General features: G+C 42.0%; 1 protein-coding gene across 5 annotated transcripts in view, besides 1 other annotated feature; it reads right to left on the bottom strand.

Annotated features, from left to right (window-relative positions):
* TAF1B (TATA-box binding protein associated factor, RNA polymerase I subunit B) overlaps positions 1-16458 on the bottom strand; it is a 90975-nt gene extending 74517 nt beyond the window's left edge. The window contains 6 exon segments of one of the 5 annotated variants that reach the window (NM_001318976.1): positions 5479-5574; positions 8262-8359; positions 10440-10527; positions 13714-13843; positions 14582-14680; positions 16341-16458. Coding sequence is in view for 2 of the 5 variants with exons in the window: in NM_005680.3 (NP_005671.3) it covers positions 5479-5574; positions 8262-8359; positions 10440-10527; positions 14582-14680; positions 16341-16358 (399 nt within the window). In the remaining 3 variants the exon portion in view is untranslated. 5 annotated transcript variants of the gene reach the window in all.
* Positions 16066-16145: a silencer, noted in NCBI's record as "silent region_11144". NCBI's record gives its function as "represses an Ori minimal core promoter by ATAC-STARR-seq in GM12878 lymphoblastoid cells {active_cell/tissue: GM12878}" and the evidence as "EXISTENCE:reporter gene assay evidence [ECO:0000049][PMID:35858748]".
* Positions 16459-23213: the final 6755 nt, after the last annotated feature.

Genomic DNA, 23213 nt, shown 5'->3' with positions numbered 1-23213 from the left:
TTCATAGTAGTGTGGAAACAAACTAATACAGGAAATTGGTACCAGGAGTGGAATACCACCATAAAGATACTGGAAAATGTGGAAGCAACTTTGGAACTGGGTAACAAGCAGGGGTTGGAACAGTTTGCAGGGCTCAGAAGAAGACAGGAAGATGAAAGAAAGTTTGGAAATTCCTAGAAACTTGTTGAATGATTGTGATCAAAATGCTGTTAGCGGCCAGGTGCGATGGCTCATGCCTATAATCTCAGCACTTTGAGAGGTGGAGGTGGGCCTGACCTGTGGTCAGGAGTTCAAGACCAGCCTGACCAACACAGTGAAACCCCATCTGTATTAAAAATACAAAAAAGTAGTTGGGCATGGTGGCATGCATCTATAGTCCCAGCTACTCGGGAGGCTAAGCCACAAAAATCGCTTGAATCCAGGAGGCGGAGGTTGCAATGAGCCAAGATGGTGCCACTGCACTCCAGCCTGCGCAACAAAGCAACACTCTATCTCAAAAAAAAAAAAAAAAAATGCTGATAGTGATATGGACAATGAAGTCCAGGCTGAAGTGGTTTCAGATGGAGATGAGGAACTTATTGGGAACTGGAGTAAAGGTTACTCTTGCTATGTTTCAGCAAAGAGACTGGTGGCATTTTGCCCCTGCCCTAGAGATCTGCAGAACTTTGAAGCTGAGAAAGATGATTCAGGGTATCTGGCAGAAATTCTAAGCAGCAAAGCATTCAAGAGGTAACCTGGCTGATCCTGAAAGCATTCAGTCATGTGTGTTCACAAAGAGATTATCTGAAACTGGAACTTTTATTTAAAAGGGAAGCAGAGCATAGAAGTTTGGAATATTTCCAGCAGGACGACAAGGTAAAAAAGGAAAACCCATTTTCTGGGGAGAAAATTCAAGCCGGCTATAGAAATTTGCATTAGTAATGAGGAGTGAATGTTAATAGTCAAGACAATGGGGAAAATGTCTCCAGGGCATGTCAGAGATCTTCGAGACAGCCCCTCCCATCACAGGCCCAGATGCCTAGGAGGGAAAAATGGTTTTACGGGCCAGGTCCAGGGCTCAGTTACTTTGTGCAGCCTCAGGATATGGCGCCCTGCATCCCAGCCACTCCAGCTCCAGCTGTGGCTAAAAGGCACCAAAGTATAGCTCAGGCCATGGCTTCAGAGGGTGCAAGCCCCAAGCTTTGGCAGCTTCCACGTGGCGATGGGCCTGTGGGTGCATAGAAGACAAGGGCTGAGGTTTGGGAACCTCTGCCTAGATTACAGAGGATGTATGGAAATGCCTGGATGTCCAGGCAGAAGTCTGATGCAGGGGCAGAGCCCTCATAGAGAACCTCTTCTAGGGCAATGCAGAGGAGAAATGTGGGGTTGGAGCCCCAACAGATTCCCACTGGAGCACTGCCTAGTGGAGCTGTGAGAAGAGGGCCATCGTCTTGCAGATCCCAGAATGGTAGAGCCACTGACATCTTGCACCATGCACTTGGAAAGCCAGACACTCAACTCTGGCCCATGAAAGCAGCCTTGGGGGCTGTACCCTGCAGAGCCATAGGAGCAAAGCTGCCCAAGACCTTGTGAAACCACCCCTTGCATCAGCATGCCTGGATGTGAGACATGGAGTCAAAGCTTATTTTGAAGCTTTAAGATTTAGTGAATGCCCTGCTGGGTTTCGGACTTGTATTGGCCCCTTTGTTTTGGCCAATTTATCCCATGTGGATTGGGAACATTTACCCAATGCCTGTAACCTCATTTCATCTTGGAAGTAACTAACTTGTTTTTGATTTTACAGGTTCATAGGCAGAAAGGACTTGCCTTGTCTCAGATCAGACTTTGGACTTGGACTTTTGAGTTAATGAGTTAATGCTGGAATGAGTTAAGACTTTGGTAGACTGTTGGGAAGGCATGATTGATTTTGCAATGTGAGAAGGACATGAGATTTGGCAGGGGGCAGGGGTGGAATGATATGGTTTGGCTCTGTCCCCATCCAAATCTCTCATCTCGAATTGTAATCCCCACATGTTGCGAGAGGGACCTGGTGAGAGGTGACTGGATCATGGGGGTGGCTTCCCCCATGCTGTTCTCATGATAGCGAGGGAGTTCTCATGCAATATGATGGTTTTTAAAGTGGCAGTTTCCCCCTGCATGGGCTTGCTCACACGCACGCACTCTCTCTGTCTCTCCTGCTGCCATGTAAGACATGCCTTACTTCCCCTCTCCTTCGGCCATGATTACATGTTTTCTAGGGCCTCCCCAACCATGTAAAACTGAGTTAATTAAACTTCTTTTGTTTAGAAATTGCCCTGTCTCAGGTAGTATTTTTATAGCAGTGTGAAAATGGACTAATAGATGCTAACAGCTGTCTCAAACTTAACATGTCCAAAATGGAACCACTGACCTTCCTGGCCCACTTACCCTTCAGCTGATGGCAACTCTTTCCTTCCAGCTGCTTAGGTCAAAATCCTTAGAGTCATCATTGACTCCTATTCCTCTCTTTCTCTCACATCCAATCCGTCAGGAAGTTCTGTTGGCTCTATCTTCAGACTTTATATAGAATCCTATCACTTATCACCTCCAGTTCTACCACCTGGTACCAGCCACCATCACTTCTCATCTACACCAGTGCTTCTCAAACTTTAGTGTACTGTGTATAGGAAGCATCTACGGACTTCTTAAAATGCGTATCTGCATTCAACTGGTCTTGGTAAGACCTGAAATTCTGCATTTCTTGCCCTAGATATCCCATGGTTTACTCTCTCACTTTCTTCATCACTTCAGCTCCCACATCAGCAAGGGCCTCCATGACCACCTTTTATTAAATAGCACCCTTCCCCAGTGTCCCCCTCTCTATATTTGCTTGTTAATTTGCTTCTTCTGCACATTTTCAGTAATTTACCTCACCCAAGATAATACAGCTCAAAAGCAGGGACCAGGCCTCTTACTGTTCTCAAAACAGTTATCTCCAAAGCACTAAGGAAATATTTAATGGATATACTTGAGAAAACTATGCTTCTAATTAAAAGTAATTGTTTCCATTTCCTTTCAAAATAGAGTATAGCTGTACTCTTGAAGTAGAAATTACCTTACTAATTCATACATCAGCTTAATATTTTACTTATTGCTTATTTATTCACCAAGATTTTAGCGTGATGCTAATATTGCTTTACACGAGAATTTACTCAACTCTAGAAAAACCTTTTTTTAAAAAAAACTTAAGTTAACCCAAAAATATTTAAATGTCAGAGAATCCCAGGTTCTGATGCATATTTTCTATGTGTTAGGCAAACTCCCAGGGCATAAATACAATCAACAAATACCTTAGATATGAAATTTTAAAGATCAGGTTCTTAGTAGTTTAGGCAATTCTTTCCTTTCTTTTTCAAAGTGTTACCTTAGAACCATATAGCATCTTCCGATTTTCTTGGGAAGTATCTCTCTCATGTATCAAGACAGTATAATGTTTCATAGTTCTATGATTATAAAATATTATCTTTTCTAGTAAATTCAAGTTATTTCTCTTGAGTTTATTTAAATTCATTATCTCATATTTTAAAACATTCTCCAAACGAACCCCTCAGGTTATTCCCCTGCCTTTTTTTTTTTTCAGTTAGCTTTCTCAGGTTGGCCCCCACAACTGCCCGCCAGGATAACATTTAACCATCACTATCCCGTACGACTTGACTACTCTAAACTTCTCATTCTTAGGATTGGTATCACATGAGGATACTGAAGGAGCTCAGAGGTTATCTCTTTTGCTCATCTCTGTAACCTACTCTTCACCCAGACCTGGGTTTCTCAGTACTGGGTCTCTCAACTCTGGATGTGAAACCTATGAGAACCCAAGCAAACAAGGAAACACTGGGCCAAATTCCCAAGCCCTTAACAAATGTGTATCAAACAGATTCAGAATCTCTTCTAGCCATATGAAGAGTAACTATAGATGGTCCCTTACTTGTGATGTTTTGACTTTACTACGGTGCAAGCAATATGCACAAAGTCAAAACTATACTTCAAGCACCCATACAACCATACTGTTTTTTACTTTCAGTAAAGTAATCAATAAATTACATGAGATATTCAACCCTTTATTATAAAATAGGTTTTGTATTTGATGACTTTTGCCCAACTGTAGTCTAATGTAAGTGTCCTGAGCATGTTCAAAGTGGGCTAGACTAAGCTATGATGTTCGGTAGGTTGGGTATATTAAATGCATTTTCTTTTTTTTTGAGACAAGTCTCACTCTGTTGCCCAGGCTGGAGTGCAGTGGTGTGATCACAGCTCACTGCAGCCTCAACCTCCTAAGCTCAAGCAATCCTCCCACCTCAGCCTCCCAAGTAGCTGGGACTATATAGGGCATGTGTCACCATGCCCAGTACGTATTTTTTAATTTTTTGTAGAGTTGGGGTCTCATTATGTTACCCAGGCCGGTCTTGAACTTCTGGGCTCAAGCAATCCTCTTGCCCTAGCCTCTCAAAGTGTTGGGATTACAGGTATGAGTCATTAACACTCAGCCTGCATTTTCAACTTAATGATAGTTTCAGCTTACAATGGGTTTATCGGGATGTGACCCCATGGCAAGGGGCATCTGTACCACACATCAAAAATTATCCAACTGGCTGGGCGCAGTGGCTCACGCCTGTAATCCCAGCACTTTGGGAGGCCGAGGAGGATGGATCATCTGCGGTCAGGAGCTCAAGATCAGCCTGGCTAACATGGTGAAACCACATCTCTACTAAAAATACAAAAATGAACCAGGTGTGGTGGCGGGCGCCTGTAATCCCAGCTACTCAGGAGGCTGAGGCAGAAGAATTGCTTGAACCAGGAAGGCAGAGGTTGCAGTGAGCCAAGATGGCGCCATTGCACTCCAGCCTGGGCAACAAGAGTGAAACTCCGTCTCAAAAAAAAACCAAACAAATGAACAAAAAAAATTATCAAACTTGCTTTTCTTAGAAGTAGAATCATCCTCGACCCCAAATAAAATGTTACATGGCACATTTATAAAGCAGTTACAAAGAAACTGCTAAAAACAGCTGGTGGATATGGGAGAATACCCAGATTTTATTTTTCTTCACATAAAGGCTTCTGAGAAGATATGATAACTGAGCTGAATCTTGAAATGCCACATAAAGTAAGTAGGTATTCCAAGCAAACAGAATAAATACATTATTAAATTAAAAATTATTTTAATAGTACAGTGATAGAAACTATCTTCTATCTAGAAAATCAACCACAAATTCCTTTATGTTTCAACTAGTCTGATAAGATGTCAAAATTAATTCCATACTGCAGGAAAAAAGTGAAGAAAAAACTTTATTCCAACGTTTAAATCAGTGACCCCGTCCTCTAGACTGTAACAGAAGCCTCTTAACTGAAAATCCTCTGACAAGCATCATAATCTCAGATACTCAAACTGGTCATGAACCCATCTTCATCTCTACATCTCAACAGACATGTTTTTTAATCCAACTTTTCAGACTTGTGACTTACCGTAGGTTTCCTTCCAGTGGTATAAACTGGGTTCTTACAATATGCCTGCTTGCTCTTCTGAAGGTAGCGCTTCCAAAAATTATGTAAAACATCGTTCTAAGGTGGAAGGGAAATGAGTGGTGGGTGATTCAGGTTATGACAACAAATGTACAGGCACATCTACACCACAGCTCTCTTGTACTTTAAATATTAACTTACATATAAATTTCCAGTAAATGTTTTATGTGGTATTCACAAGTTGAGAACAAAATCTCTGGGGTCTGTATGTAGCATCTATCAGAACATTGAGTTCCACAAAATGCACACTAGGGATTAGTATGTTGAACCAGTAGTTCTCAGGCTTAAGTGTGCATCAGAATCACCTGGAGGGCTGGTTAAGTCTTCCATCTAAATGTATTCTTACCTGCCTTTCCTTAAAAAGAATTATAATATCATCATAGTGTCAGGTACATGAGAAATGCTGAAAAAATCCTTCTTAATTTTAGATAGAGAAAGACATTAAAATCACCGAGTTGAGTCCTTTTCTTCTGCATATTAAGTAAATTAAGGATCAGAGTACAAAGCAACTGATACATGACTACACTTTTAGTTAGGGGCAAAGCTGTTACCAGGTTTACTAACCAGTCCCAAGTGATAGTGAAACTAAACAAAAAACTTTTCCGGCTGGGCACGGTGGCTCACTACTGTAATCCCCAGACTTCAAGGCAGGAGAAACTGCTTGAGCCCAGGAGTTCGAAACCAGCCTGGGCAACATGGTGAGACCTCATCTCTACAAAAAATCAAAAAGTTAGCCAGGTATGGTGGCACATGCCTGTAGTCCCAGATACTTGGGAGGCTGAGGTGGGAGGATTACTCGAGTCTAGGAGGTTGGGGCTGCAGTGAGCCATGATCAGGTCACTGCACTCCAGTCTGGGTGACAGAGCAAGACCCTGTCTGAAAAAGAAAAAAAAAAAGCAAACAGAAAGACTTTTCCATTTATTCGTCATCTACTAGGTACCAGGTATCCCTTAGCTCCAACACAATATTGTAAGACAGCTATTAGCTTCATTTTACCATTGAAGAAACTGAATAACTTGTCCAAGATTACCCAGCCATTAAGCAGAAAAACTATCAATAGGATTTGGAGTCAGTTCTGATTCTGGAGCCTGTGTACATGGCATAATGCCACTCAACTGATCAGGTCTAAACAGTTATGCTCATTGGCTAATTTCAGAAAAATTGTTTTCAGAATTAACCCCTAATGAGGTGAGCATAAAGCTACATAGGAACAAACCCTGCTACAGCTATATAGTGTAACTATATAAAACTGTTTCTAAACATTTATACATAAAATGACTATGTAAGCAGAAATCAGATCACAACCCCCCCACTATCAGCTATCATACCTAATGCAATGACTATTATGGGTTAGCCTCTGTTGCTTCATGCTTCTGAATTTTTAATTCTTAACGCCTTTCAGGGTAGGCCCAGCATCCATTTAGGCCATGCACTGAAATCGTGGTTGTTCTGTTTGGACTTGCCCCAACCACCAGTTTGAACAGCAAAGGCTCCTCTACAAATCTTTCCTTGGTGACTGCAGCCCATGTTGATCTTTCTCTGTTCTTTTTTTGCCTTTAATATCACTTATGAGGGCCAGGTGCTGGGGCTCATGCCTATAATCCTAGCACTTTGAGAGGCCGAGATGGGCAGATTGCCTGAGCTCAGGAGTTTGAGCCCAGGCTGAGCAACATGGTGAAACCCCATCTATACTAAAATAGAAAAAATTAGCTGGGTATAGCAGTGTGTGCCTGTAGTCCCAGCTACTCGGGAGGCTGAGACAGGAGAATTGCTTGAACACGGGAGGTGGAGGTTGCAGTGAGCGAAGATCATGCCAGTGCACTCCAGCCTGGGCAACAGAGCGAGACTCCGTCTCTTAAAAAAAAAAATCACTTAGCATATCACCATATAAATTCATGTCTATTCATTTCACATATGCATAAATCCCTCTCCCCAACTAGGCTGGACCTCTCAACACTTGGTTTCCAATGAAGCATATGAAGCAAGTGAACAACTTGTTGCTAAATAACTGGCTTTTTAAAGCATTCCTTAAATGACTTTTACTAGATGAAGGAATATGAAATTCAAATAATTGCAGAAATACTGTGTTGCTCCAGGAAGGCAGCAAAGTCAAAGAGTGGTCCCCAGACCAGAAGCATGGGTGTCCCATAAGAACTTGTTAGAAATGCACATTCTTGGGCTCTACTCCAGACATACTAACTCAGAAATTCGGGGATTAAGGTCCAGTGATTGGTGTTTTTTCAAGCACTCCAGGTGATTCTGATGCACTCAGGTGAACGACTGGTTTAGCATATCGCTGTCCAAAGTGCATTCTGTGGAACTCAAGTCCTGATGGACGTTATGTACATACACCAAACGATTTTGTTCTCAAATTGTGAATAACACACAGGACATTCCCTGGAAATTAAACAAGCACATTAACACACAAAAGGTACTAATAAACCCCCAAAGTTATTTGAGTTTTACTTTGTTTAACCTGTTGTTTCCTAAGTATCTGAAGACTAAAACCTTTAAATTTTTCTTTTGGATGTATTGCTTATTTACATCCTGTAGAACACACTTCCAGAACTGCTAACCTACTAAAAGGATTAAAGCAAAAACATCAGAAAAATTATTCTTCCAGTAGCCCTAGTGTTACTACTGATTTCTCCTTAGTTCCACTATAAGTCTTACTGTTCTTTAAACAAAAATATGTAAAGCTAACATCTAGTCACAAATGTACTTACCTTTAACTCTGGGCCTACTCCAAGGTTCTTTAAGGCTTCTGCTTGTTGATAAAGAATATACTGGAAACCTTCACACACATACCAATCCCAGCCTTTTTCTAAATGACAAATAGCATGTTTTAGCATATACATTCCTAATTTACTAACTTTAATGCTACTACAGTTACAATTTGTGTTTTACACATTGCGACTTGAATTTTTCTTTTTTTTTCAATTAACCCAGAACTTAGCAGCTTAGCATCTTGAATTTTTTTGTACCATTCAAGAGGGCTTCCATTCTTATATTCTCTTGTTTCCAACCTGGCAATGTGTACACAAATGCTGAAACTAAATATTTTGTATAATTTCCGATTTCAAATGTTTTCCATTATCTGTATTTTTCTGAAATATTAACCTAAGAGGCAGAAAAATGAATAGTCACCATGTTAAAAAAAAGTGAAACGAGTTTTAAAAATGTCTATTTTCCCGAACAATGCCCAGCAGAATCCTAAATGATGAACGATGCCCAGCAGAATCCTAAATGAAAGGACTAAGTCACTGCTTCCACCACTTTTCTGTTCCAACTCACAAGGGAACAGTGAACTGTTAGTGAATGAGTGAACGAATGTCACGATCTCATGATACCGGAGTATAGAAAAGGGCAGTAAGAACATTCAAAGAAAATAAACTGCTCAATGGCATTCTGCTTTTCCTGAAATGGTTCTAGGTTATAGGGAGAAAATGAAAGCAAGGTACTAATACTGATCTCAGCCTAGGTGCCAAGTGTGTGCCAGGTATCTTACGTGGGTTATTTTCTGGAATACTCAAAACTACCCTAAGAGATTGTGAAGAAACCTGCCACCACAATAGACAGAGTTACATGTTTAATGACAACTACGAGCTGAAGGAAAAGTCTGTGAAGACCCTTATGTTTTGCCCCTCACTGCTGGACAAATACTGTAACTCTTCCAAAAGCTTGTTATCAGTACTTTTTACACAGAGCTTCTGAGGTGTGTTACTGACTTCAAGATCTCTTCTCTGCAGAATGCCAGAGGACTTCAACTCTTCTCCCTTACCTGAATGTCACAAAGTCTCCCCACCTCTGCTAACTAACCCAATTCCTTCCCAGAAAGGGTCTCGAATTGTCTCAAAAGCCAATAATTTTGATGGGTCCATAAGTCGAGGAAGTTTAAACTCTTCAAGCTATATGCATATACTCCCTCTTCCTGCATACTGTTCTTAGAAACTGATAAAGTTGTATTTTAAATTTTGAGTCTGTGTTCCTATTTTCCATAATGGATGGCATTTTATTCTCATTTTACAAATGAAGAAATTAAGGGTGATGAGGTTGACTATAAGATACTTAACACCTAATATAAAGCACCTGAAGTTCCTTAAGAAATGCATGTTTAAACTACACATTTTAACTATTTAAGTAGGTCAAGGCAAAATTAATCAGGTTTTACTCCAATAAAATTTAAAAGTTAATCAGGTTTTAGCCTAATAAAAAGTCACTACTAAAGGCTAAGCAGAAACATGAGACAGCACCTAGGCAGTCACTGTTAGCATCTAAGAATGTCGGTGTATTTCACATATTTCATAAACACACACACACACACACACACACACACATATATATATATATTTTTTAATGTGTGTGTATCCTTAAAGCTATCTCATGTAGAAGAGTCCCCATTATCATCAGCCTGGTTTCAAACTTGGGGATTTGGTCCTAGCTACCTAGTCACAAAAATAAAAACCATCAGTTAGACTTTACCTAAGATCCTTCTCAACAATGGTTAATTATATGTACTCACTGGATTAATGAAATACTTTGCCTTTCAAAGCACACTCATGTTGAGGTCATTTTAAGGGAAAATAATTTTCCCAATTTTAAAAAGGTGTGTTCAAAATTCAACACAAGAAATGGATTTCTAGAAGTTGAATATCATATTTAACTCACCTAACCTAACAATTCCACGGTTGAATTATTTCAGAAAATAAGCATTTTTTCTATAAAAGCACCAGAAATAATATTCACCCACAATGAATACAGACATAGGATAGAAGAACGTATGCCAGTAGATAAAATCTGGCATTTTCTCTAGAACCTACTTAAAATTCCATTCCATGTCCTGACATCATGAAGGTGAAAGATGTGAATAAAGAATGTTAAGTACATATGAAGAAAGAACTTACCAGTATTGTTTTTTTTTTTAAGCCCCCGGTTGAGGGCTTTTATTTGGGTATTAGGAATAAGATCAGTGTTTGTAACTTCCTGATATCTCTGCAGGAAAGAGAAAAAGACCATTAAAAAAGATCGTTTTACATCCCCCTAAGCATTTTTCCAGGTATTTTCTGGAAAGTATAATAAACCAAATTGTGAGTGCCAGGACCAAGGATGGTAAAATCTTGGGAAAATTATAAACATTTAACATTCTAGTTAATGTTGATGTTGTTTTTTCATTCAAAATTTCTCAGTAACTAAAACAGTGCCTGGAATACAGTAACCATAAAGTGTTTGTTAAATGAATAACTTTTATTTTAAATCACTTTTTAACTTTTACAAACCAAGCCAAACTAAAAGTTACATCTACTCACTTTTTTCTCCACACAAAATACACTTTGGTATGAAAACAGTTTTATGTATTTTTTGTAACTGGTAATGCCTAAACTACAGACAGATTAGTTTTGGCCTACTTTTCCATGTCTTTGAATAATACTCTAAAACTGCTTTCATTTCTGAAATTATAAAAGTACGTATTACATTTTATTTTTAATCAAACTTAGAGAACTTTAGAATGACTAAAATGGTTAGTATAATTCATATCAGAGTCTTCAATCTTAACTGCTCTCAAGGGCAAATATCAAAGATTCTGGCTCTCCCACAACTAAAAATAAAGTGTTGAGTCTTTTTTTTTAAATGGGGCCACACTTTATTCCATAAAGTAGAATAAATGTTCCCATTATTGAGTCTTTTTCTTTTTTTTTTTGAGAGGGAGTTTCGCTCTCGTCGCCCAGGCTGGAGTGCAATGGTGCGATCTCTGCTCACTTCAACCTTTGCCTCCCAGGTTCAAGCAATTCTCCAGCCTCAGCCTCCTGAGCAGCTGGGATTAAAGGCATGCGCCATCACGCCTGGCTAATTTTGTATTTTTAGTAGAGACGAGGTTTCTCCACGTTGGTCAGGCTGGTCTCAAACTCCCAACCTCAGGTGATCTGCCCACCTCGGTCTCCCAAAGTGCTGGGATTACAGGCATGAGCCACCGTGCCCAGCCCCCATTATTGAGTCTTAATGCCAGAAGAAAGGTGAGGATTTTTAACCAACAGAGGACATTACTGTTTTTCTAAATTTAGAGATTTGGAATGAAATTTATCTTTAACCCTCCATAAGAATAAAAGAAATGTCTCTACCAACAGGATTTTTGGAACGTAGTCTCTCTAATCACAGAAACCATATTCAAAGCAATTTTGGTATACTGGGTTGGCCACACTGAAAACATAAGACACGTCAAAATAAATACAAAAGCCATTATCTAGCAAAGACAGTAAAACTTGCAAAGGGTAGCCAGGAAAAAAAGACTTAAAATCTGTACTAGACAAAACGTGAAAGAGCAAAAAACCTGAAAAAATGAAACATCCAAAACTAGAGCTATAATTAATTAAATTACCAAATGGCCATTATGGAATATTTACAGTCTATAAAAAATGTCTGCAAATGTTTAGATAAAAGTATTTTTCCAAGTTGTTACGGCAGAAGATTGAACAGCACTCACACATCCCTTTCTCCATTTCACACACAGGAAAAAAGAGACAAATGTAGAGATTACTGGTGATTTTAGCTTTCATCTTCACAATTTCCAAATTTTCTATAGTAAACATGCATTGCTCTTATGATCATAAAAATCTCTTACATTCACACAAGTCTAGCCTACACCTTTTTAAATATCCGTGAAACTCTTGCAAAAATATCTATTGTCTAAATTGAACAGATTTATGACCTTACATTTTTTTTTCCTGGATAAAATATACTAGGATAACATTTTGGTTCCTTTATCAATCTGGAAGGCCTTTCCCAGATTGCAGAGCGTGTCTGGAGCTTGACAGTTACATGCCAAGGAAGAGGGGGCAATAAAAGGGGCAGAAAAATAGGGCAAGTTGCACCATGACTTCCATTCTTCACAGCTGTAACTGTCTCACCTGCCATTCCCCACCCACTGTATTTCAACATCACCATCGCCACACTGCTCAGCTCCAGGGAGCCCCTACCACATTATATTCTCACAGTCCATGTGAAGAACATGCCTGGACCGCCATAAAGCCAAGAATAACTACTGAAGTTGTGCAACACGTAACTTTTTTTTCCTTTAAGCCTGTCGTCTGAAAGGAAGGCACTGAGCTAGGTTCTTGGTCTTTATAAAGATGTTGTCCACCTTCATGAACTCTACATTCTTGACAAATTACTCCACAGGAGTTGACAGTCTTCCAAATGTGGAGCTAGGGAGAAGTATTAGGATCTTTCAAACTAAAAAATGACTGCAGCAGATTTGATCAAACAGAATCAAACGGAAACAGTATCAAAATCAAAAATAGAAAAGCAATTAGTTAATGTAGTTCAATTCCTATAAAAATAGTATGCTGACTTCATCTACTAATGGCAAATACTCCATTAGACATAATCTTTCTTCACTGGGTTTACACCTGCACTATAGTACAAAAGCAACAGTGAGTAAAACTGCTAGCTCCTTACTACACAATGAGGGTGAGGACCAAACTGCACATCTGTCAGGTGCACAATCTGACACACACAGACACACACACAAAATATATCTCCATGAAACCACCACTATAATCAAGATAATAAATATCTCCATCACCCCAACAATTTCATCAAGTGAGCACATATCTTTTTAATATTCTGTATGACTAAACAGGAAGCAGAGATAAGCATTCCAGCTGCAGACTCAAGAACACTGCCTCAAGGAAAAGCACTTGTGTGACACACCTGCAAGCTCAATTCACCAGTTTTGTCAAGGGAAAATGTTTTTCCTTTTACTCATTTAATATATTTTGTCCAGGTTTTTCATTGTTTAGGGGACAAAGGTAAGTCTGGTCTCTGTTAGTCCATCTTAGCCAGAAGCAGAAGTCTACACAGTTACTTTTAATGTCCCAAATTTGCCTTTCTTAAGCCTGTATGGTGAAGGTAACATTTGTTCCTTCCTGGATCTGTAGACTTTGAGGAAATCCTTTTCCACTGAGGAGAGTCCTGGCACATTTAGCCTGTCCAGCAGCAGACTCTCTACACCCTTGATCACTTTGGTGATGCTGGCCCGAAGGTGTGTTCACCACAATAGGACCTAGCACTCACAATGTGAAGGTAGCCTCGTTTACCAAGGTTACACAGGACAATATGACAATCTCTACTTTAAGAGGCAGGTGTGATGGGTAAAATGAACACTGAAGTCAGAAGACTCACATTCAAGTCCTGGTACTTGGGTAACTTTGGCAAACTCACTCAACTTCTGAGCCCTATCAATAGGCTCTCACAGTTAGTGATGAGGAGGAAATGAGATAATGGATCCAAAAACTTTGTAATCTGTAAGGTACTATACAAAGGTAAAAGGATAACGAAGAATAATTCCAATATTCCCAACAGTCCTCAAGCTTTCTTTCTCTTTTTTAGACAGAGTCTTGCTCTGCTGCCCAGGCTGGAGTACAGTGGCGTGATCTCGTCTCACTGCAACCTCCGCCTCCTGGGTCCAAGCGATTCTCCTGCCTCAGCCTCTCAAGTAGCTGGGACTACAGGCGCATGCTACCACGCCTGGCTAATTGTTGTATTTTTAGTAGAGACGGAGTTTCCCATTGTTGGACAGACTGGTCTCAAACTCCCGACCTCAGGTGATCCACCTGCCTTAGCCTCCCAAAGTGCTGGGATTACAGGCGTAAGCCACTGCGCCCGGCCCAGTCCTCAAGTTTTCTAACATTCCATCTTCCAAACCTCTAAGCCACCATGACACATTTAAAAAAATGTAAATAAGTACTAACTGATAAAAAGAAATGCATCATCTTCTAAGTACAATTTTAATTATTTCCCTCAACCACATACTCTGAATAAGAAATCATTTATAAATGTGGCCCAACATAATTTCAAAAACTCATCCTCAATCTAATTCACAAATCCCTTAACCTATGTGTAAGTACCTAAGACCACATGCATCCTTGGAATGTTGGCATTGCATGAGTGACAAAAATCAACCCAATTCTTTGGGACTTAGACTACATATCAGGCTGAAATGGCAATTTTTAAAACATAAGCAAATTCATAAATGATATTTGTTACTTACCTCTGTAACATTGTGGCAAGAAGTGCAATAATATTTGCCTTCATCAGTAAGACCCCATGAGACAGCAGCACACTGAGTACAGCGTTCTTTAAACTCTTCCTATGGGAGAAGAGGACAGAAAAGGTGTTCCCATCAAGCCACATTCAATACATCGTACCTAAACCTTGCAGTTCTATTTAATGGGTTCCTGGCAACTTTATTAATAAAAAATCATAGACAATAAAAAATATGTCAGAGAGATTATCCGCAAACAAGGAGAGGCGCGGTATGAAACCGAATTAAACTACTGGAGAAAATTTATTGAAATATGCAGTGTGACAGGAAAAAAAAAGAAAAGGAGGTAGTAGGGGTAAACTGGAACCAAAGATGAGTAAACAAAGCTCCTTGAAAATACTGTGAGAAGATGACAAACAAGTATAGAGAAGACTTTTAAAAAATGCAAATACAATTTGGAACTCCTCCAGGACACTAAAAGCGCATACCACAGAGGAACTAGATTTGTAATGGTTTCAAGTTTCGATTTATTCACTCGGCAGCATAAGGGGTATCAACTATGTGTGTACCAGGCTTTTTACTAGGTGCTGGGGATTCAATGGTGAGCAAAACAGACCAGACATGATCCCTAGTCTGGGTATACGCTAGCTAATGGTGAGTTACAATTATTCATTTCATCAGCCTAGCATTTACAGAAGTTAGCCAACCATCATCAGTAAACATTTTTTAAGCCTCTACTATAAGACCGTACTGCTCCTGTATATACAGGCCTAATTCTCTGATCCCCAACTCTTTGGAGTTTGACTTGTTGTTAGCATTGATCTAATTATCGAGTATCATTTAATACCATCAAAGCGTGTGCCATTTGGCCGAGGGCGGGGGATCACCCCTATAATCCCAGCACTTTGCGAGGCTGAGGCAGGAAGATCGCCTGAGCCCAGGAGTTCAATACCAGTCTGGACAACATAGCGAGACCCCTGCCCCTACAAAAAATTAAAAAAAAAAAAATTAGCCGGGCTTGGTGGTGCATGTCTGTAGCCCTAGCTCATTGGAAGGCTGAGGCGGAAGGATCTCTCGAGCCCAGGATTCGAGGCTGCAGTGAGCCGTGATCGTGCCACTGTACTCCAGCCTGGGGGAAGAAGTGAGATCTTGTCTCAAAAATAAAAAACAAAAATGTGCCATTTTACGTAGTACCTAAAACAAAACAAAATGCATGCCAAATCAATTTTGGCAACTTGGTAAAGTGTTCAGTGACCCCGTACTAACACTACGATGAATGATAGCTGGACAATTTGGGGAGTTCCCAAACCCGAATTTAGAATCCCTGCTGGAGACAGTGGCAAGGATTCCCGGAGAGACCGACAGGGGTTACCCGGCGGCATCTCAGGTTCCAACCCCTGCCCCTCCCTCACCCACCCCAGCATTAAAGGGAACTTGTGGGTGGTCCAGTCTCGAGGATGAGCCCTGTGGGTGGCCACCCCACAAAACCCACAGCTTCATCCTTAAACACACCCATAACGACAAACACCACACCCTCCCTCCCCCACAACCTCGCCGAGCCAGAAACTCCAGCCTCTTTACCAAAGCCGCGCGCGCATGCGGCCGGCCAGCCCCAGTCCTTAGCCCGCCCTGCAGCCCTCCGCCCCGCCTTCCTCCAGCCGGTGGCGTCGCCGCCCCAACCCGCGGCGTCCTCCGCCGCTCCTCCTCAGCTTCTCTCTCCTCCGGCCCCGGCGATCGTGGCCCGCCAGGTGCACCGCCTCCTTACCGCCTCCTCGAGGTCCATCGCGGCGCCGCGGGAGCTTCCACAGCCGGGACCCGTTACCCGGGTAGCGAGCGCAGCTTCCGGGAAAGGCTGGAGAAGCTTCCGGCCGGAAACGCGAGATCCGCGCCTAGGATTCCGTGCGCCTGCGCGGCAGGGAAACCGCGCGCTCGGGGGCGAGGCTCCGCAAAGCTCGCAGACCCCTCGCGGACTACCTAACTTTCCTACTCTTGAGAACCAAAACCAACCAATAAGAAAGTGGGCGACGCCTACTGCTGAGTGGTTTGATCAAGCTCCGTTCCGACGATCATTCATTCCAAGACAGACTTGCTCCTCCGGCGGCACGGGGGGTCGGACAAGGCCGTGCTCGCGAGCGCGGGCTCTGTCCTCTGTGGGTTCCGCCCTCCGTGGGTTCTGCCCTCCGAGTCTCGCCCCTTGCTGGCTTTTTTAAGGGGAAGCCTCGGGGCTTGGAGGAAAGCTCACGGGCTGTGAGTTAGACCTAGGTTTCTAATCACGGCTCTCCTGCTTACTTGTGCCTCAGTTTACTCCTCTGTAAGAATTAGATGTTATCTGTGAGCCCCTTATAATTGAGTCTCCACCGGGCGTGCTGGTTCACGCCTGTAATCCTGGGGAGGCTGAGTCGGGAGGATTGCTTGAGGCCAGGAGTTGGAGACCAGCCGGGGCAACAAAGCGAGACCCCTTCTCTGCATAAGTAAATAACTGAATAAATAAATGCATGAGTGAATATAATTGAGTCTCAGTAAGTGCTCAATAAATTTAGCTCTTATTGTTTCTTCATCTAACACATTCATTCCTTGTTTTATTTATTAAACAGGAACTGGTTTGTGTCCTGGGGATTCAGCAGTGAACAAAGTAAACAAAAGTCCTTGCCTTCATGGAGATTGTATTCTGATGGGGAGAGACAAAAATAAATAAGGAAAATATGTGGTATGTTAAGTGGTGGTGAGTTCCAAGGAGAAAAATAAAGAGGAGAGGAGAATGGGAACAACAAGGTGATTTCAGTCTGAAATGTGATGTTCAAGAGAGATCTCATTGAGAAGAGGATTTTTGATATAATCGTACATCCCAAGAAGTTAGAAAAAAGATTAAACTGAAAAATAATGGGATGAAGGAAATGTTTAAAAAAGAGAAATTAATAAAAGAGAAAGCAAGCTTCGATAGGCTCCACAAAGGCTTGCTGTGGTGGCTGGTGCCTGTAATCCCATCACTGTGGGAGGCGAAGGCGGGCAGATTGCTGGAGGGCGGGAGTTGGAGACCAGCCTGCCCAACATATTGAGTCCTCATCTCTATAGGCTGGAGTACAATGGTTCAATCTCAGCTCAGTGCAGCCTCCACCTCCCAGGTTCAAGCAATTCTCCTGCCTCAGCCTCCCAAGTAGCTGGGATTATAGGCACGCGCCACGACGCCTGGCGAATTTTTGTATTTTTAGTAGAGACGGGGTTTCACCAGGTTGGCTGGGCTGATCTCGAACTCCTGACCTCAAGTGATCTGCCCACCTCGGCCTCCCAAAGTGCTAGGATTACAGGCGTGAGCCACCACGCCCAGCCTAAAAGATATTTTTTAAGAAGAGAGTCTCAACCAACTAACATTAGCTCTTTGAAAATACTAATACATTCGATAAACTCTGGAAAGATTGATCAAAAAGAAAAGAGCCCAGCTTGGTGATGCACACCTACAGTCCTAGCTACTTGGGAGGATGAGACGGGAGGTTTGCTTGAGCTCAAGGCTGCAGTGAGCTATAATCGGGCCACTGTGCTCCAGTCTGAGCAACGGAGCAAAGAAAATCAAAATAAACTGATATCAGTGGCATCACTAACCAATATGTAGGGGCATCACTGCAAATACCACAGACATTAAAAAGATCATAAGGGCATATTCTGAACAACTCTAGGCCAATAAATGTGAAAATTCCACCAATTTTTTTTTTTAAGACAGTCTTGCTCTTTCACCCAGTCTGGAGTGCAGTGGCACCATCTCAGCCCACTGCAACCTCCGCTTCCCAGGTTCAAGCAATTCTCCTGCCTCAGCCTCCTAAATAGCTGGGACTACAGGCGCCTACCACCACACCTGGCTAAGTTTTGTATTTTTAGTAGAGATGGAGTTTCACCATATTGGCCAGGCTGATCTTGAACTCCTGACCTGCCCACCTCGGCCTCCCAAAGTACTGGGGTTACAGGCATGAGCCACCACGCCTGGCCAAATTCTACCAAATTTTTAAGAAAGAAATAGGCCAGTCATGGTGGCTCACGCCTGTAATCCCACCACTTTAGGAGGCTGAGGCAGGAGAATATTTGAGGCCAGGAGTTCGAGACCAGCCTGACCAACATGACAAAACCTCGTCTCTACTAAAAATACAAAAATTAGCTGGGCATGGTGTTGCACGCCTGTAATCCTAGCTACCTGGGAGGCTGAGGCACAAGAATTGCTTGAACCTGGGAGGCAGAGGTTGCAGTGGGCCAAGATCATGCCATTGCACTCCAGCCTGGTTGATAGAGAGAGACTCTGTCTCAATAATAATAATAATTTTAAAAAGAAATAAATAACACCCATCTTATACAGATGCTTCCAAATAATGAAAAAAGAAGAGCATTTACCAGTACATTTTAGGAGACAAGCATGACCTTGACACCAAAACTTGACAAGGATATTTCAAGAAAAGTCAAAATTAAAAAGCAATTCCTCTCATAAACATACATGCAAAAGTTCCAAACAAAACATCAGTAAATTGAATGTACATCCTGTTGTACTCAGCAATATATAAATAGGATAATAAATCACAGCCAAGTTAGGTTTATTCTAGGAATGCAAGTTTGTTTAACATCGAGCCTGTAATCTCAGCATTTTGGAAGGCCAAGGTGGACAGAACACTTAAGCCCAGGAGTTTGAGATCAGCCTGGGAAACATAATGAGACCTCATTTCTGCAAAAAATTAAAAAATTAGCTGGGTGTGGTGGCACAGTCCAATAGTCCCAGGTACCTAGGAGACTGAGGTGGGAGGATCGGTTGAGGCTGCAGTGAGCTGTGGTCACGCCACTGCATTCCAGCCTACATGACAAAGCAAGACCTTTTCTCAAAATTAAAAAATGTTAAAAGAAAAAGTAGAGAAAAAAGAATAAAGATTTAAAAAATAAATAAAAGAGAAAAAAATAAATCATACAGTAATCTAGTGTGATGCAAGGATAGACCAAAAAATTGACAGAACTGAATAGAAAGTCCAGAAACGGACTCATAAGTACATATAAAATAATCTGATTTACAACAAAGCTGCTACTAAAATTCAGTGAGGAAAGAATAGCTTTTCTCCTTTTTCTTTGTTTCTTTTTTGAGATAGAGTCTTGCTCTGTTGCCCAGGCTGGAGTGCAATGGCACAATCGCGGCTCACTGCAACCTCTGCCACTCAGGTTCAAGCAATTCTCGGGCCTTAGCTTCCCAAGTAGAGGTAGCTGGGACTACAGGCATGTGCCATGACACCTGGCTAATTTTGTATTTTTTAGTAGAGATGGAATTTTGCCATGTTGGCCAGGCTGGTCTCGAACTCATAGCCTCTAGTGATCCACCCACCTCGGCCTCCCAAAGTGCTGGGATTATAGGCGTGAGCTGAAAGAATAGTTTTTCAATAAATGGTTCTGAATCAATCAGACATGCATATGAGAAAATTATTGACCCCTTTCTCACACTGTACACAAAAATTAATTCAAATAGATCCTACATGTGATAGGTAAAACCATAAAGCTTCTAGAAAAAAAAAGTGGTAAATATCTTTATGATTTGGTGTGGAATAGACTTCATCAACAGGGCACAAAAAGCACTACTCCTAAGAGAAAAGGTCATTACACTGGATTTCATTAAATTAAGAACTTCGATTCATCAGAAGACATTGTTAGGCTGAGCACAGTGGCTCACGCCTAGAACCTAGCACTTTCAGAGGCCGAGGTGGGAGGATTGCTTCAGCCCAGAAGTTCAAGATCAGCCTGGGCAACATAGAGAGATCCTATCTCTACAAAATTTTTTTAAAACTTAGTTGGGTGTGGTGGGCATGCCTGTAGTTCCAGCTACTCAGGAGGCTGGGTCGGGGGGATTGCTTCAGCCCGGGAAGTCAAGGCTGCAGTGAGCTGTGATCATGACACTTCCCTCCAGCCTGGGTGACAGAGACCCTGTCTTTAAAAAAAATTAAAAAAAAAAAGACATAATTAAAGCAAACTAAAAACTGAGAGAAGAAATTCACAATACATATTCGACAAGACATGTAACAAAGGTTTCCTACCGATCTATTAAGAAATAATAAACAATCCAGTTAAAAATAGGCAAAAAGATTTGAACAGGTATTTCATAAAAGATAACAGCTAAATGGTCAATAAATATATGAAAATGTACGCAACGTCATTACTTATCAGACAAGTACAAATTAGATCAGGCTTGGTGGCTCATGCCTATAATCCCAGGATTTTAGGAGGTCAAGGCCTTGCCTTCCACCATGATTGTGAGGCTTCCCCAGCCACATGGAACTGAATAAGTCCATTTGAACCTCCTCCTTTTGTAAATTGCCCGGTCTCGGGTATGTCTTTATCAGCAGTGTGAAAACAGACTAATGCAGTGCGTGAGAAGGGAGAGGATCTGCAGCACCATGGAGGGGTCAGCCCTAGCATAGAGGGTTCATCTGCTGCAGAACCAGGAAAGAAGGGAGAGCACGTGGGACAGCGCAGGTGCATGAGGTGGAAGGTCTGTTCTCTGAGCTTCATTGAAATGGAAGCAAGTCATCAGTTGAGAGTGGGAGTGGGGAGGGCTGTGGGAAGTTTGAGAGGAGACCAGAGGTGTAATAACTCTTGGAAATGGAAGAATGGAATCAGGAATCTAGCAAAAATTGCAAGCAGCATGAGGGCCTACTTGACATTTGCAATCATAAATATAAAGATAAGGCAGTCAAGACACCCAGCCATTCTGATGCTCACTTTGTTAAAACATTCCCTTTACCCTGAAGGGACAAATTAAGTGTATTCCCCATTTCAAAAATATCTGCCAATACTACTGACAACTACTTGTCATCCCAGGAATACTTACTTTCCTGTTTTTTAAAAAAGAAGGTAACTAGCTCATCTGTGGGTCTGGCAGGTCTTTGAAATGTTTTGCCATGAGGTATCCAAAAGCCTTCTGTGGGGACACAGGACTTTTGTGGATATTCATGCTCAGTCCAGATGACGGCGATTCCTGCGCTATATCTGCACAGTCTTGTCTTCATAAAATTGACTATATCCTGACACACTCCAGCAGTGTGCACCTTCTGCCTTTAACTTCTGCTGCCACTTGATGCTGGTGGATGAGGCGGTGGGTGAATTGCCCCCGCGGTGCTGTCAATGTCTTCTCTCAGAGCTCTTCTAGTATTCTAGGTTCTTTCATGGTTACACAGACACAATTTTTTTTTTTTTTTTTTTTTGAGATGGAGTCTCGCTCTGTCGCCCAGGCTGGAGTGCAGTGGCGCGATCTCGGCTCACTGCAAGCTCCACCTCCTGGGTTCACGCCATTCTCCTGCCTCAGCCTCCCGAGTAGCTGGGACCACAGGCACCCGCCACCACACCCGGCTAATTTTTTCTATTTTTAGTAGAGATGGGATTTCACCACGCTAGCCAGGATGGTCTCGATCTCCTGACCTCGTGATCCACCTGCCTCGGCCTCCCAGAGTGCTGGGATTACAGGCGTGAGCCACCGCGCCCGGCTACACAGACACAATTTTACCACAAAGTGTTGTTTATAAAAAGAAATGGTTTATTGTCTAGAATAGGTGTTTCCTGGTGCATCTTCCCATTACAAGTGGTTTTTTTTTTTCCCTATGTTCCATTGTGGAAATAGAATCTAGCAGCTCTCATGCAGAGACATGTTTGAAACATCTGCATCTTATCCAGCAGCATTGCAAAGCTTTGAATGGCAGACCAGTGTAATTTTTTCTAAGATGTGTCTCTTCTAAATTTTCCACACTGTTTTCTACATCTTCCGGTGGTATTTGTGACAGTATTTGTCATCTTGTCTTTTGGCCATAGTTATCATGACAGGATGATAGAAAACAGATACAAATAAAAAACAATTTTAGAGAGGACTAAAAACATTGTAAGAAAAAACACCACACAGCAAGGTATATACATATGTATAGGATGACTTGGGTGGAAGATAGTGAAGAGAATTTTTGTAGGGTCATCAGAGAGACCTCTCTGAAGAAGGGCCAGTTGAGCAGAAATGGGAATGGAGAGCTGGGCGCGGTGGCTCATGCCTGTAATCCTACACTTTGGGAGGCTGAGGCGGGTGGATCACTTGAGGTCAGGAGTTCATGACCAGCCTGGCCAACATTGTGAAACCCCATCTCTACTAAAAATACAAAAATTAGCTGGGCATGGTGACACGTGCCTGTAATCCCAGCTACTCGGGAAGCTGAGGCCAGAGAATTGCTGGAACTCAGGAGGGGGAGGTTGCAGTGAGCCGAGATTGCACCACTGCATTCCAGCCTGGGTGACAGAGCGAGACTCTGTCTCAAAAAAAAAGAAAAAGAAAAAAGAAATGGGAATGGGTGAGAGACTTGCAAGAATATGAGGGAATGAGTCTTAGGGAGATGAAAATGCCAGCTAGATGAGGACCCAATGGCCAAAGGTCTCCTGGGCCTACAGGGCTGATGTTTAGCCAATGCACCCATAGTGCCTGTTCCATTTGTTAAAATATTTACACCGGCTGTCCCCTGAAAGTCTCACCTCCTGGCCACCATCATTGGCTCCCACTGGGGAATGATGGGAAGAGAGGACAGACTCCTGGTGAGCCAACTGGTGGCCAGCCAGCCGGCTATGACTGCCTTGGACTGTCCACTTACCTCATATCTGG

The sequence above is a fragment of the Homo sapiens genome, chromosome 2 (assembly GCF_000001405.40).
Source record: "Homo sapiens chromosome 2, GRCh38.p14 Primary Assembly".
NCBI lineage: Eukaryota > Metazoa > Chordata > Mammalia > Primates > Hominidae > Homo > Homo sapiens.
Note: the sequence above shows the minus strand (reverse complement) of the source record. Positions and strands in the feature narration are given on the sequence as shown.